The 14,723-nt window shown below is 35.9% G+C and overlaps 6 annotated features.

Annotated features, from left to right (window-relative positions):
* Positions 2,177 to 2,709: an enhancer, noted in NCBI's record as "OCT4-NANOG hESC enhancer chr4:65593094-65593626 (GRCh37/hg19 assembly coordinates)". NCBI's record gives its function as "activates a minimal SCP1, AML or CMV promoter by ChIP-STARR-seq in naive H9 embryonic stem cells {active_cell/tissue: H9 hESC(naive)}" and the evidence as "EXISTENCE:reporter gene assay evidence [ECO:0000049][PMID:30033119]".
* Positions 2,710 to 3,241: an enhancer, noted in NCBI's record as "OCT4-NANOG hESC enhancer chr4:65593627-65594158 (GRCh37/hg19 assembly coordinates)". NCBI's record gives its function as "activates a minimal SCP1, AML or CMV promoter by ChIP-STARR-seq in primed H9 embryonic stem cells {active_cell/tissue: H9 hESC(primed)}" and the evidence as "EXISTENCE:reporter gene assay evidence [ECO:0000049][PMID:30033119]".
* Positions 2,792 to 3,086: a silencer, noted in NCBI's record as "tiled region #8732; HepG2 Repressive non-DNase unmatched - State 24:Quies, and K562 Repressive non-DNase unmatched - State 24:Quies". NCBI's record gives its function as "represses a minimal TATA promoter and a strong SV40 promoter by Sharpr-MPRA in HepG2 and K562 cells {active_cell/tissue: HepG2 | K562}" and the evidence as "EXISTENCE:reporter gene assay evidence [ECO:0000049][PMID:27701403]".
* Positions 11,788 to 12,349: an enhancer, noted in NCBI's record as "OCT4-NANOG hESC enhancer chr4:65602705-65603266 (GRCh37/hg19 assembly coordinates)". NCBI's record gives its function as "activates a minimal SCP1, AML or CMV promoter by ChIP-STARR-seq in naive H9 embryonic stem cells {active_cell/tissue: H9 hESC(naive)}" and the evidence as "EXISTENCE:reporter gene assay evidence [ECO:0000049][PMID:30033119]".
* Positions 12,350 to 12,911: an enhancer, noted in NCBI's record as "OCT4-NANOG-H3K27ac hESC enhancer chr4:65603267-65603828 (GRCh37/hg19 assembly coordinates)". NCBI's record gives its function as "activates a minimal SCP1, AML or CMV promoter by ChIP-STARR-seq in naive and primed H9 embryonic stem cells {active_cell/tissue: H9 hESC(naive and primed)}" and the evidence as "EXISTENCE:reporter gene assay evidence [ECO:0000049][PMID:30033119]".
* Positions 12,912 to 13,472: an enhancer, noted in NCBI's record as "OCT4-NANOG-H3K27ac hESC enhancer chr4:65603829-65604389 (GRCh37/hg19 assembly coordinates)". NCBI's record gives its function as "activates a minimal SCP1, AML or CMV promoter by ChIP-STARR-seq in naive and primed H9 embryonic stem cells {active_cell/tissue: H9 hESC(naive and primed)}" and the evidence as "EXISTENCE:reporter gene assay evidence [ECO:0000049][PMID:30033119]".

Below are 14,723 nucleotides of genomic sequence, written 5' to 3' on the forward strand. Positions count from 1 at the left end.
TTGACTATTTCTTTACCTCCTGCTTTTAGCCTAATTGGTATTTTAGTGAGCTTTCTCTACTACCTGATTGGTCAGGTGTGAGCTGAGTTACAAGCCCCATGCTTAAAGGTGGATGCAGTCACCTTCCCCAGCTTGGCTTAGGAATTCTTAGTAGGCCTAGGAAATCCAGCTAGTCCTATCTCTCAATATTGTGTTACATCTATTTTTTTATTTTCTATATCCTTGATGCATCTTTATGATGTATAATGTCTTTAGATTACTTTAATTTGCAAATTTTTTTCAATAACCATTTCTAATATTTTAACAATGTCACTAAATTAATGTTAGAAGAACTTTATTTCTAAAAATTGTTTGTTTTAAATCTGATAATTATAGTAATGTATTATTACTCAGTATATAATTTTTATAATAACATTATATTTTAAATCTGATAAATAATATATATAAAGCCTCTAGGAGTCAATATTCACTGTTGGTTGTTTCTGATTATTTGTATTCGTAGTTATATTTTTGTTCAGGTGGGCCTGGAAATTTTATATTTAAGCTCATATTCTTTATAACTAATCTAAGTAAATATAATATGATTCTTAAAGTATTGAATGAGGAGTCCATTTCTCTACGGAGGCAGGAAAATAAGAGTCTGGAGGCAGAGAGTATAAAGCTGATTAACACTTCAGTTATAACAGGAAATATCCTCTCCATAGGGCATACACCATAAATGACTTTGCAACCTTACTTCATCCTCTTCATTTACATAGGGTGTACCTGAAGTAACCAATGGAATACTCTAGGGGGTAATTAAACTCCCAAAAATTCTGTAACAGGACCTTTGAGCCGCTATGCTCGGTTCCACACCCACACTGTTGAGTGTACTTTCATTTCATAGTCAACAAATCACTTCATCCCTTCTTTGCTTTGTTTTTGTGTTTTGTCCAATTCTTTGTTCAGGACAGCAAGAACCTGGACACCCTCCACCATTAACATATTTTGGTGAATCAGCCAGGAGGAAGAGGTAAGCCCAAAGTTTGGGATTTATTCTTCTCCTTTCCTATTTTTCTTTCTGCTCCATGCAGGGGAATCTTTTTCTCTCTCTTTCTCTTTTTGTTCCAGGACCCTTCATGGGCAGTGCCTAAACATGGAAGCACCTGCAGGTTTCTGGCCGTGGCCAGTGAAACTAAGGGATTTCAATGTGGAGAAGCCCGACTGCCACCATCCAGTTCACTTAAGGAACCTGGGTCTTTTTGATGGTCTTTTCTTTTCTTTTCTTTTCTTTTCTTTTTTTCTTTCAGCCTTTCAGCAGTTGCTTTCTAGTAGCTTCGTGGAAATTGAGGGCAACTGGCTTAGGCCTAGGGATGAATGGGAATAATTGCCATGCCCCAAAGCAGGGAGGACTTTTTTTTTTAATCTTTTCCATTCATGGTCCCTGATCAGTATGTGTGGGTCATCTCGGAGCAAACTTGCACGTTTCAGGCAACTTAAACTTTTCATGTGCTAAATTCTTCCCTCATGATACTCAACTCACTAAGGAACAAAAAGGCCCACTTGGCATCCAGTTCACATTACAATTCATGGCTATTCATATAAAGCTCATAGAATGCTCTGGAGGATAAAACCTGCATGTGGCACCCCCTAAGGCCAGAGATGTCTGGATTGGACCCCACAGGAGGATGTTCCGTGGGTTCTGTGAACCGCAACCACTCCAAAGAGGATGCTCTTGGCAGAGGTTCTGAGGTTCTGAGATCTTAGGCCTCCTTAGTATCTTCTCTCACAGTTGCAATGCTTTTTGGCCCCAACATTGCTTGGAATCTGGAGTTTTCTGTCTATTGGGAAAGTAGAATGATGTTGCATATATACAGGCTTTTGTGCTGTGGTTGTAAACAAGGGGCCTGGTTAAAGTGTGGTGCTCTCTCTTGGTACAGTTTGGCACCAGTGCTCTTCGGAGTCTGGGGAGGTTTTTCCTTTAAGAGTCAAACCTCCATGGAGACTGCTTTACCCAAAATTTTGGTTCAGAGACTTCATTGGGTTATCTATTGGGGCAAAGTAAAACCAGCAAGCTTGTAGTGCTATCTCATGGCTAAGGTTCCAAGCTAGTGGACCTTTGTTTATGTGTGTGTATACACGTTTAGATGTGCTTATTTGTATGTACACTTATCGCTATATGTTGTTGTCTACTAAATTGCCTTATAAGTAAAAGAGTGCTCATAAATTAAGTAAATAAATCTAACTGTAGCAGGACAAGCTGCAGACCAAACTCCTCAGACACCAAGTTAAAGAAGGAAGGGGTTTATTCGGTTGGGGGCATTGGCAAGACTCCTGTCTCAAGAGCCAAGCTCTCTGAGTGAGCAATTCCTGTCCCTTTTAAGAGCTCACAACTCTAAGGGGTGCATGTGAGAGGGTCGTGATTGATTGAGTAAGCAGGGGTACATGACTGGGGGCTGCATTAACTGGTAATTAGATCAGAACAAAACAGGATAGGGATTTTCACAGAGCTTTCCTATACAATGTCTGTAATCTATAGATAATATAACCAATTAGGTCAGGGGTCGATCTTTAACTACCAGGCCCAGGGGGTGGCGCCGGGCTGTCTGCTTGTGGATTTCATTTCTGCCTTTTAGTTTTTACTTTTTCTTTCTTTGGAGGCAGAAATTGGACATAAGACAATATGAGGGGTGGTCTCCTCCCTTATAACCAATTTTCAAGTTCATGTGACTTAAAGTATAACATTACTAAACAAGCTAGCTTTAAAATTCTTGGTGGAATAAAAATAGAAATGCCTTTGTAATTGTCACCATACATTTTGTCTGAATTTTATGTTTGTCTTTGCTAGATATTTTAAGATGTCAGTGTTAATTCAAGCTGGCAGCTGCTTGGGGCGAGCCTGCCTTCCATTCTATTCAAATTCTCACTGAGATAAATGCATATCTGATTGCTTCCTTTGGAAAGGCTAATCAGAAACTCAAAAGAATGTAACCACTTGTTTCCCACCTGTGATCTGAAAGCCCCCAGGCCTCCTCGTCTCAAGTTGTCCTGCCTTTCCAGGCCAAACCTGTGTTCATTTTACATATGTTGATTGATGTCTCATGTCTCCCTTGTTAAAAGTAAAAAAAATGAAGTTCAGAGAATGGGATAAGTGTTTTAGGTAAAATTTTTGTGTAAATTAAAATCTTAAAGTTATTTTCAAAGCTCATTTGATATCTGGGACATTTCCAATTAAGAAAGGGTTGTAATGTGGAGAAATATGTTTCTAAAATTGTGGAATTGTTCTTATCTATAAATGCTCATTTCTAATAGTTTAGGATTTCTTGTATTTTAGGGTTTCACTAAGGTTTTAGGTTACTAACAATAAAATTTTAGTTAACAAATAATTCTGTATACAAAATGTGTCAGAAAGAATTATTAGTGGAAAGAAGTAGAATCATTTTGTCTAATTCAGAAGTTATCTAAAAGTTAGTTCAAATAAATTTGAAAAGGATATTTATGAAACAATGTAGTAAGGAATCATTACATAGGCAAGAAAGATGTGGAAAAAGTTTAGATAAAAAAATTCTCTAAAGCCTGACAAACAACTGGAGACATTTGGCTAATTAACATTTTCATAGTTAAGGCTCTTAGTCTTGATTAAATTAAGAAGTATTGTAAAAATGCACTGACAGTTTGGCAATTCTTTTTTTTATATAGTTAAGCATGAAGTTGGATTTAGAATGAGCCAAATTTCACATACATGCTTGCATAGCTTCACACTATGTTTATCGTTTGGTTTAGATAGTGCTGGAATACTTATTGGTCATGTTCCTGAAGTGAATTTCTTAATTGCACAGGATGAATAATAATATTAGTTACCTTAAAGATATTGAATTCTGTATCATGAATAAAATATTTATTATGTGGGTTTTCTGGGGCCCTAGGTAACAACGTAGCTTTCAGGGTAAATTGAGTAGGAAAATTTAGGGTTGGTTTTTGGTCTATTTGTGTTTGCTTCTAGTTTTCATTTGTTTGCTGTTTATTCTCATCTGGCTTTGGCTGTGTGTCTCTCTACATAAAACCATGATGCTTTTTAGTTTCTAGTGGAAGGCTTTTATTTGATTTTGTGAATGACTATTTTGCTTCCTTTTCTGGCAAGTCATCATTTGTTCCATTTCTCTGGAATTCCTAAGCTACCTTTGTCGGGCCACAGGAATTAATGGAGAATTAATTAATTCCAGAGAAATGGAATTCCTAATCTACCTTTGTCAGGCCACAAGAATTAATGGAGCACATCAGCTTTTTATTCTTATAAACTAACTTTTTGGATTTTAAGCTTTCTAATACTTTAAGTGTGTAATGTCAGCCCTCTGAGCCCAAGCTAAGCCATCATATCCCCTGTGACCTGCACATATATATCCAGATGCCTGAAATAACTGAAGAATCACAAAAGAAGTGAAAATGCCTGTTCCTGCCTTACCTGATGACATTGCCTTGTGAAATTCCTTCTCCTGGCTCAGAAGCTCCCCCACTGAGCACCTTGTGAACCCCACCCCAGCCCACCAGAGAACTACCCCCTTTGACTGTAATTTTCCATTAACTACCCAAATCTATAAAACAGCCCCACCCCTATCTCCCTTCGCTGACTCTTTTCCGACTCAGCCCCGCTGTATCCAGGTGAAATAAACAGCCCTGTTGCTAACACAAAGCCTGTTTGGTGGTCTCTTTACACGGACATGTGTGACATGTAAAGTATACTTTCATTAATATAATTTGAGTCATATTTCTCTCTCTGCCTAATTTCTCCAAAATTTGTAAAGTATTTGTGAATATTCTTAATTCATGGCAATATGTTTGTTTGCATATGGTCAAGCAGGGTTGCTAGGGCTGTTCAAGGAGACAGAACCCAGAAACCTGGCATGCTGGCAAAAGGGTAAGAATTTCTTACCAGTCAGTCTCTGGCCTCTTTCTCTCTGTGCAAACTGGTTAAAAATAAAGTGAAAGTCAGTGTGTATCTGCTTTGTAAAGTTTTAGCTAATTAGTTTAATAATAATAAGTGCTTAATTCAAATATTTTGTCAGGAAAGTAGAAATTGTAATGCCTTTTAATTCTTGTAACTTTAGCAATCTTTGAGAAATAAAGACGGTTTTAAAGATTATTGGTAAAATACAATTGTCTTCAAACTGTAAACGTGTGTTCTAAATTTTGTTCAAATATTAGGTTTGCTAAATGCTTTCAGGTCATGAACTGCTTTGGCTTTTGAAAATTGTTTAACTTGCCTGCATTCTAGTTAGGTAAGGCCTGGGGACATGTGGAGTTAGCCATGCCCTTGTTATGCTGGAAACAGTCTAACCTGATCAGAATATAACTTACCAAGATTTACATTCTTGTTAAACTTGCCAAGAGTCACCACTGGAACATTCAATGAAGACTACTAGAAAGAGTGTTACATGCAAGGTGTGTAAAAATAGTAGTTTTTTTGTTTGTTTTGTTTTTGTTTTTTCTGTAAAAGGTTATAATGGGTTTTTACTTCTTTACAATTTCTGAGTCATCATTTTGGCCAAATAAATAATTATGGTAATCTGGAATTCCAAAACCAAACTTCAGTTTCAAAATTGTCTTTCCTAATGCCTAGCTTTCTTGATGGATTAGAGGGCCCCTGAAAACATTCAGAAAAGAGGTAAACAGAATTATTTGACATGTTTATCTACATGGGATTGCCAAAATGATATTCAATCTTCTTTAGGTTCTATTTTTGTGAATAATACTAATATATATTCCAAAATTGTATGAGATTTCTAACATTCCTTTTTTTTAATTTTATATATATATATATATTTATTATACTTTAAGTTCTAGGGTGCATGTGCACAATGTGCAGGTTTGTTACATATGTGTACATGTGCCATGTTGGTGTGCTGCACTCATTAACTCATCATTTACATTAGGTATATCTCCTAATGCTGTCCCTCCCCCCTCCCCCCACCCCACCACAGGCCCCAGAGTGTGATGTTCCCCTTCCTGTGTCCATGTGTTCTCGTTGTTCAATTCCCACCTATGAGTGAGAACATGCTGTGTTTGGTTTTTCGTCCTTGCGATAGTTTGCTGAGAATGATGGTTTCCAGCTTCATCCATGGCACTGCAAAGGATATGAACTCATCCTTTTTTATGGCTGCATAGTATTCCATGGTGTATATGTGCCACATTTTCTTAATCCAGTCTATCATTGTTGGACATTTGGGTTGGTTCCAAGTCTTTGGCTATTGTAAATAATGCCGCAATAAACATACTTGTGCATGTGTGTCTTTATAGCAGCATGATTTACAGTCCTGTGGGTATATACCCAGTAATGGGATGGCTGGGTCAAATGGTATTTCTAGTTCTAGATCCCTGAGGAATAGCCACAATGTCTTCCACAATGGTTGAACTAGTTTACAGTCCCACTAACAGTGTAACAGTGTTCCTATGTCTCCACATCCTCTCCAGCACCTGTTGTTTCCTGACTTTTTAATGATCGCCATTCTAACTGGTGTGAGATGGTATCTTATTGTGGTTTTGCTTTGCATTTCTCTGATGGCCAGTGATGATGAGCATTTTTTCATGTGTCTGTTGGCTGCAAAATTGTCTTCTTTTGGCCGGGCACAATGGCTCATGCCTGTAATCCCAGCACTTTGGGAGGCTGAGGCTGGCGGATCACAAGTTCAGGAGATTGAGACCATCCTGGCTAACACGGTGAAACCCCGTCTCTACTAAAAAAAATACAAAAAATTAGCTGGGTGTGGCAGAGTGCACCTGTAGTCCCAGCTACTCGGGAGGCTGAGGCAGGAGTATGGTGTGAACCCGGGAGGTGGAGCTTGCAGTGAGCTGAGATTGCGCCACTGCAGTCCGCAGTCCGGCCTGGGCGACAGAGCGAGACTCCGTCTCAAAAAAAAAAAAAAAAAAAAAAAAAAAAATTTCTTCTTTTGAGAAGTGTCTGTTCATATCCTTTGCCCACTTGTTGATGGGGTTGTTTGTTTTTTTCTTGTAAATTTGTTTGAGTTCTTTGTAGATTCTGGATGTTAGCCCTTTGTCAGATGAGTAGATTGCAAAAATTTTCTCCCATTCTGTAGGTTGCCTGTTCACTCTGATGGTAGTTTCTTTTGCTGTGCAGAAGCTCTCTATTTTAATTAGATCCCATTTGTCAATTTTGGCTTTTGTTGCCATTGCTTTTGGTGTTTTAGACATGAAGTCCTTGTCTATGCCTATGTGCTGAATTGTATTGCCTAGGTTTTCTTCTAGAGTTTTTACAGGTTTAGGTCTAACATTTAAGTCCTTATTCCATCTTGAATTAATTTTTGTATAAGGTGAAAAGAAGTGATCCATTTTCAGCCTTCTACATATGACTAGCCAGTTTTCCCAGCATTATTTGTTAAATAGGGAATCCTTTCCCCCTTTCTTGTTTTTGTCAGGTTTGTCAAAGATCAGATAGTTGTAGATGCGTGGTATTATTTCTAAGGGCTCTGTTCTGTTCCATTGGTCTATGTATCTGTTTTGGTACCAGTACCATGCTGTTTTGGTTACTGTAGCATTGTAGTATAGTTTGAAGTCAGGTAGTGTGATGCCTCCAGCTCTGTTCTCAGCCCAAAATTTTGTTAAGCTGATAAGCAACTTCAGCAAAGTCTTAGGATACAAAATCAATATGCAAAAATCACAAGCATTCTTATACACCAATAACAAACAGAGAGTCAAATCATGAGTGAACTCCCATTCACAATTGCTTCAAAGAGAATAAATTACCTAGGAATGCAACTTACAAGGGATGTGAAGGACCTCTTCAAGGAGAACTACAAACCACTGCTCAACAAAATAAAAGAGGATACAAACAAATGGAAGAACATTCCATGCTCGTCAATAGGAAGAATCAATATCGTGAAAATGGCCATACTGCCCAAGGTAATTTATAAATTCAATGCCATCCCCATCAAGCTACCAATGACTTTCTTCACAGAATTGGAAAAAACTACTTTAAAGTTCATATGGAACACAAAAGAGCCCACATTGCCAAGTCAATCCTAAACCAAGAGATTTCTAACATTCTAATGTCTAAAGTATATGCTACAAATCACAATTACAGTTATTATGTTAAGTTATTGTAAACCGCAGAAATAACCAAATTTTCATGTATAAAACTACTCACCCAAGTAAAACAACAAAAAAATTAAATATCAAGAAAATACTTTTATGTTAAATCAGCTAATACCGAAATTGTTTAAAATAGTTTATAACCAATGCTTGATCCCATATCCCTGGGAAATCAATTATAGCTTCATGTACCTTTAGTTACCTGGTTGGCCATTTAAACATTTTATAAAGGGATTTCTTTCCATTGTTGTTTTCAATTCATGCTTTCTTGTTCTATAAAAGCTTTCCCTTGCAGGAGGGCTGATGTTATAACAGTAGATTATTATGCTCGGTGTATTTTCACCAGGTAAAGAAAGCTTTTTTATGGTTTGAATATTCTGGAAACATCAGAGAAAGACTGTCTTTTCTATCCACACTAAAACAAAACTTTGAAACCTTGAACTTTGGGTTCATAATATCACAATTGAGAAAGGTATCTCCATGCTCTTGGAAGTTATGCACCCACTGGAACGCTTAAGGTAAAACTAACCAGGGAAATTTCTCCCAAAAAAAGGATGGCATCCTTGATGCGAACAACTTTTCCTAAGCTCACAGATTAAGACTTCTACTGTCATGAAACACTTATCTTTAATATATATATATATATATTTTTTTTTTTTGCTTAGGCCTCTATGAAAAATAGAAGTGGAAAGGGGGTCTGTTATGTGCACTAATGGGGTGCACTTTTATTTGTGAAGGAGTTTGAAGCCTTATACATGGATAACCTTATACTTTGATACATAAAAGATGAAGGCCCAATGTAGGTAAGGAACTTTAATGGTACATATGTTGTCTCATAATCAGTCAAAAACAAAACATTTGTTCACTCCTCTTAATCCACATCATGGGTTAAAGAGAACATTGCCAGAAGGCCTTTACTATTCTAAATGGGCATCATTTGTTAGGTCCTTTGTCCATGGCTTAAAGTAAAAGAAGCAATGATTAGAAATGTATCCTCGTGGTAGGCTGTATAGCAAATTTTACTGTAAAGGCTATAGTTACACAACAAACTTTAAATTCTCCTGTGAAACTTATGCTAAATAATAGAATTGGCTGAACAGAGGAGAACCTGTGTGGCTGCTGGCACATGTAGCCTATGGGGAAATACATTAAATGAAGATTATAGAAATTTAGTGGTAGGCGATTGATGAAGAAATTGCTTAGTCAAGTGAGTAAACTCTTTCTCTAGCTCATTCTTTGATTTATTTGATTTCAGGAGGTTTGGCTTATTGGGACCTTGGGAAGTAGGGAGAATACTCTAAACTCTTGGTATTATCCTCCCAATAATTATAATAATAGTCTCCCTGGTGTGCTGTATTCTCTCAGAGGTTTTAAATGCTTGCATGCAGCCATATCTAGAGTATCTTATGGTCTCCCTTCAACTGGAATAACAGGAGCTGAAAGAAATGTGCAACCATGAGGACACATATAACCTATAAATGATGTGCTGAGACCAGAAACCCAAAATTATGGTAACTGAGAGTGGCACTGAGGCCCTACATTTTGGTTACACTCTCACCTAAGTGAAAGCCTGAACAAAAAGGGGGAATTTTTCAAACAAAATTATGGGAGGCCATTGTTTTGGACTAAGCTCATGCACTAGGTCCCAACAAACCAAACCAAACCAAAATTGAGTCACTTGTGCTAAAACTTTAAGAAAACACATAGATTCTAGAACAAGCCAGGTTTTGTTTTTTCTCTTGCAAATCTCTATAACAAACATTTCTGTCAGCATAGGTATGCACCCCCTGAAGTCCCATTAAATCTTTTAGCCAAATTCATTTTCTCTCTCCTAGAGACCCTCAAGTTTCATATGATCATGCAACAAAGTTTCCAGTCAGTTCCAGGTGAAGACATCAACCCTGGTCATGAAGAAGCTACCTTGTCCCTACTATAAAGCAGGGTGAGTTCTGTGATCCCCAATAGGTAGGGACTACACCCCAAGCCAACATGAAGCAGTTACAGAAAAAAGACTATCAGTCCCTCTGCCTCCCATGAAGATTTATGGGGATCACATTTCTTAGGGGGGAGATGAGGCAGAAAAATAAGGTCAGGAGGCAGGGAATATAATGCTGATTTACACTTCAGCTATAACAGGAAATATTCTCTCTGTAGGGCGTTCACCATAAATGACTCTGTAGCTTTACTTCATCCTCTGCATTAACATAGAGCATACACAAGTAACAAATTGAATCTTCTAGGGGGTATTTAAACTCCCAAAAAGTCTGTAACTGGGCCTTTGAGCCTCTATGGTCAGGCAAGCTCCCACACTGTGGAGTATATTATTCTTTTTAATAAATCTCTTTGTTCCTTCCTTGCTTTGTGCGTTTGTCCAATTCTTTGTTGAAGACATCAAGAACCTGGACACCCTCCACCATTAACATCTAGGTATTATTTGCTTGGATAAGAGTCATTGAACACTACTAAACATGAATTTTGTAATCTTCTCTTTTGTAAAGTTTGTAGCTCATCTTGAAGCTTCTATCTTACTAGAAAACTTATATTTAATCACACTGCATGGCACAAAGCTTGGTGTAAGACTCTCATTCAGAAGTTCTGGTTTTGACATGCGACCTAAGACAAAAGAACAACCTTAATTTTTGCTTTCTTCTCTGCAAGCAGCTCAAATTTCAGCTTACTATTTCGCTATTCCCGTTTTTGAAAAATAAATCTAGTTCAAAAAATAAAAATGTCTTTATAGATGCACTTTAAGTTTAATGACACTTTTACTCAAGGCTTTGTGGATGGTGAATTTGAAAAGTTTTGTTGAAAATTTACCCAGAACATGGTAATTACAGTCTCATTTGACCATGAAACAAATATATGAAAGAAAAATTAGGAACACTATATCATGTAGATGTTACTTATTGTCATTATTGTTAATTAAAATGCCTGACTTCTCTTTTTATTTTCCAAAATTTTTACCCTTTCTCTTTGTTCCCAAGTAAGATGTTTCATTGATATGAGAGTATAATAATTAAAAATAATGAAAAAATATTTACTTGTATGCTTTAAAAGAAAACATTTGGCTATTTGGTTAATGGTCATTTGGTTAATGGTCATTTTTCAATATAAAGCAAGTTATTTTTAAAAAAATTGAAAATCTATTTTTAGTTTTACATGATATTCAGTCAGAGTCAAGTATCTTGACTTAGTGTTAGGACTTTGTCTAAATTGTAATTGTCAAAGCTTACCCTGAGTATGATCCTGTCATTCACTTCAAAGAAACATTGCAATGAAAACCAATCAAGACAGCAGAAGAGAAAGAGAAAGAAAACAAAATTATATATACATGCCAAATGCAAACTCTATTGTCAATTTGTCCATCTTATTGAAGAATGTATTCTTGTATGATGGTTATGGCTGAGATATGCTTTCTCTCAAATTGAGTTTATATTCTTATTAAAAGGAAAAATGCAATAAAAATACTAACAGCAAAACAAAAGAATTAGGTTGCATTTTTAGGAAAAAAATTAAAAGCAGGTGTTAAACACAGAGAACATTTTTACTCCATATGTGCTGCCCAGTCAGAAACTATGAGAATAAAAAATGTAACAATGAATTAACAAAGATAACTATAATCCACTTCTATCGACATCTATTAAGGTAAAACAACCACAACATCAACACTGAGATTAAAATTGACTTTGTAATGCCATTTTTTGTTTCCATGAAATAAATTCAAAAATAGAGCCAAGAATAATTTGAACATTTATAGAATACATCAATGATACATCATTACCTAGATCTTCTTCAATTCAGTGATTTTAATTTTCTGTTGAACAAGTAGGGTTTATCAGAGAACTTAGCATCTGAATGTAACAGGGGAATTGTAAAATGATTTCTTGAAATTTGCATGTCTTTGGCTCCTGAATAGCCATCAAAGTAATTGTTTCTTAAATGTTATGCAAATCTTTTCTCCTGTGTTGACCCTAATCAAAGCAATTAATTCTATAATGATGTCTTTCTTTGCAGACACCATCTTATTATTATCTTGGCCTAAATTAATAACATCATGATAATAATTAGTAGATTTGAAATCATCTATTTATTTCTTACAGCATGTGGGCTCCTTATAAAAGAGCAACAGGAATGGAAATTAGAGTAAAACATGGCAGCTGTGTTGATTGGTGTGCCCTCCTAACCTTAGCACCTGCAACATCGGCCTTATTTAAATGTGAATGTGATGTGTTTGTAATAGTCTTTCCCTCACCAGACTCTACAAAGTACAAATATATACAGTTAATAGTGTGTGTGTGTTTGTGTATATATATTAGAATATGTATCTTATGTTGACCTAAAAGAAAGATGCTGAGGCAAAATTAATATAGGTAGAGAGTTTATTTGAAGCAAGCTTCAGAGATGCAACTTCAGAGCATAGATTCAAGTTGCCCTGAATATACACTCCAATTAACAAGTACAAGTAGGTTGTTAAGAGGAAAGAAGAGGTAGTTTCTGTCAGGCCTCTGAGCCCAAGCCAAGCCATCACATCCCCTGTGACTTGCACGTATATGCCCAGATGGCCTGAAGTAACTGAAGAATCACAAAAGAAGTGAATGTCCCTGCCTCGCCTTAACTGATGACATTCCACCACAAAAGAAGTGTAAATGGCCAGTCCTTGCCTCAACTGGTGATATTCCACCACAAAAGAAGTGAAAATGGCCAGTCCTTGCCTTAAGTGATGACATTACCTTGTGAAAGTCCTTTTCCTGACTCATCCTGGCTCAAAAACCTCCCCCACTGAGCACCTTGCGACCCCCACTCCTGCCTGCCAGAGAACAAACCTTCTTTGACTGTAATTTTCCTTTACCTGCCCAAATCTTATAAAATGGCCCCACCCTTATCTCCCTTTGATGACTCTCTTTTTGGTCTCAGCCCGCCTGCGCACAGGTGATTAAAAGCTTTTATTGCTCACACAAAGCCTGTTTGGTGGTCTCTTCGCACGGATGTGCATGAAAGTTTCTAAGTTGTTTACCAAAAAATTTTGGTAAAATATGTTATTGATTGATTATACATAGTTATTTGTATCATAAATTCCAGAAAGATGAAGGTAATTGGTGAGGCAGCTAGTCAGGAATGTAATGATTTTAAATAATTGCCCCCAGGCATGGGTATGGCATGGGTATGGAGAGGAATGACTGAAGTACCATACTCATGTCTCTCTGGTCCTGCATACCTCACAGAGTTCAGACTAATCTGAGCCAGTTTTCTTTTCTCACTTATATATACTATATTCATAAAAATTTGTGTACAAATATATGTAATATATAAGCTATATGTAATATATTAAAATATATGTAACTATATGCGTACATACATGACGTACACACACATATAAATACATGTATCTATCTATATAAACATGCCTCCCCATATATACTTATATGTATCTGTTCTGTGATTATTGGAGCATTCCTATATGTTTTTATTTTACATATTTATTTTTCACAAAGATTCATACCTAATTGTGGCATTTATTTATTCATTCTAAAGTTAATATGCTCTTAGCAGGTTGAATCTATAGACAGTAGACAAGTCATATAATATGTCAAGCAATTTCATTTACAAGAACCTTTAATATCAATACAATAATGCCATGAGCTAGACTTCTACATTCTTTCTTGATATCCTTGAAGTAAGTTTTTCTAATTAACTTGTTTTAATTTGATGAGGTATCCTGATATCTTTATAGTTAGTACACTGAGGTCCAGGATTTTTATGCAAACTTTCTGGCTAATTTAGGTGGTCTGTCATCCTGGCAGTTCTCTTCATGAATAGATTTCTCTTAGTGGGTATTCTTATTGAATACCTATCTTAGACACAGTTTTCTATTTGTCCCACCTGCATTTGATGTTTCATCAATTAACTTATTTGTTCCACGTTCTCTGATTTTATGTGTATATATGTATACATATAAAATAATCTAACTCATTCAACCCAATAGCAATTACTACTGCAAATATTTGTACCTATTCTTGTAACATTTTACTTATGTTTAATATTGTACCACTGTAGGTAAAATGTAGAAACATTGCAGCATGTGAGGATATTTTTCAGTCTCAATGATATAATGACAATATGCATTATATTTTAAACCATACAAGACAATTGTATCATATTGCTTTAAAACATGATATATATTTTAGAGATAATAAGAAAATACAATGTTTTACATTTATCCAAGTCTTAGTGCTCTTTATTTCTTCTCCAAAATTGCTTGGTATCATTTTCCTTCAGTCTAAGTTACTTTTAGTATATTTATTCTGCTGTAGTATTCTGTATATTATATTCTGGTGGCAATAATTTTCTCAGTACTTTTATCTAAAAATGTGTTTAGTTCACTTACAAGATATTTGTACAAGATATAATATTTATGAATTGACAAATATTTTTATTTTATTTCTCTCAAAATTTTAAAGATATTATTCCACTGTCTTTCAGCCTCCATAGGTTTTTTTGAGAAGTCACATATTTTCCTGTCATGTTACTCTGGCTTCATTCGGGATTTTTCATGTTATTTTTGGTTTGTAGTAACTTGTCTATAGTATTATTAATTGTTTTAACATTTATCTTCTTTGGGATCCATTAAGTATTTTACTTAC

Source organism: Homo sapiens, chromosome 4 (assembly GCF_000001405.40).
Source record: "Homo sapiens chromosome 4, GRCh38.p14 Primary Assembly".
Taxonomy (NCBI): domain Eukaryota; kingdom Metazoa; phylum Chordata; class Mammalia; order Primates; family Hominidae; genus Homo; species Homo sapiens.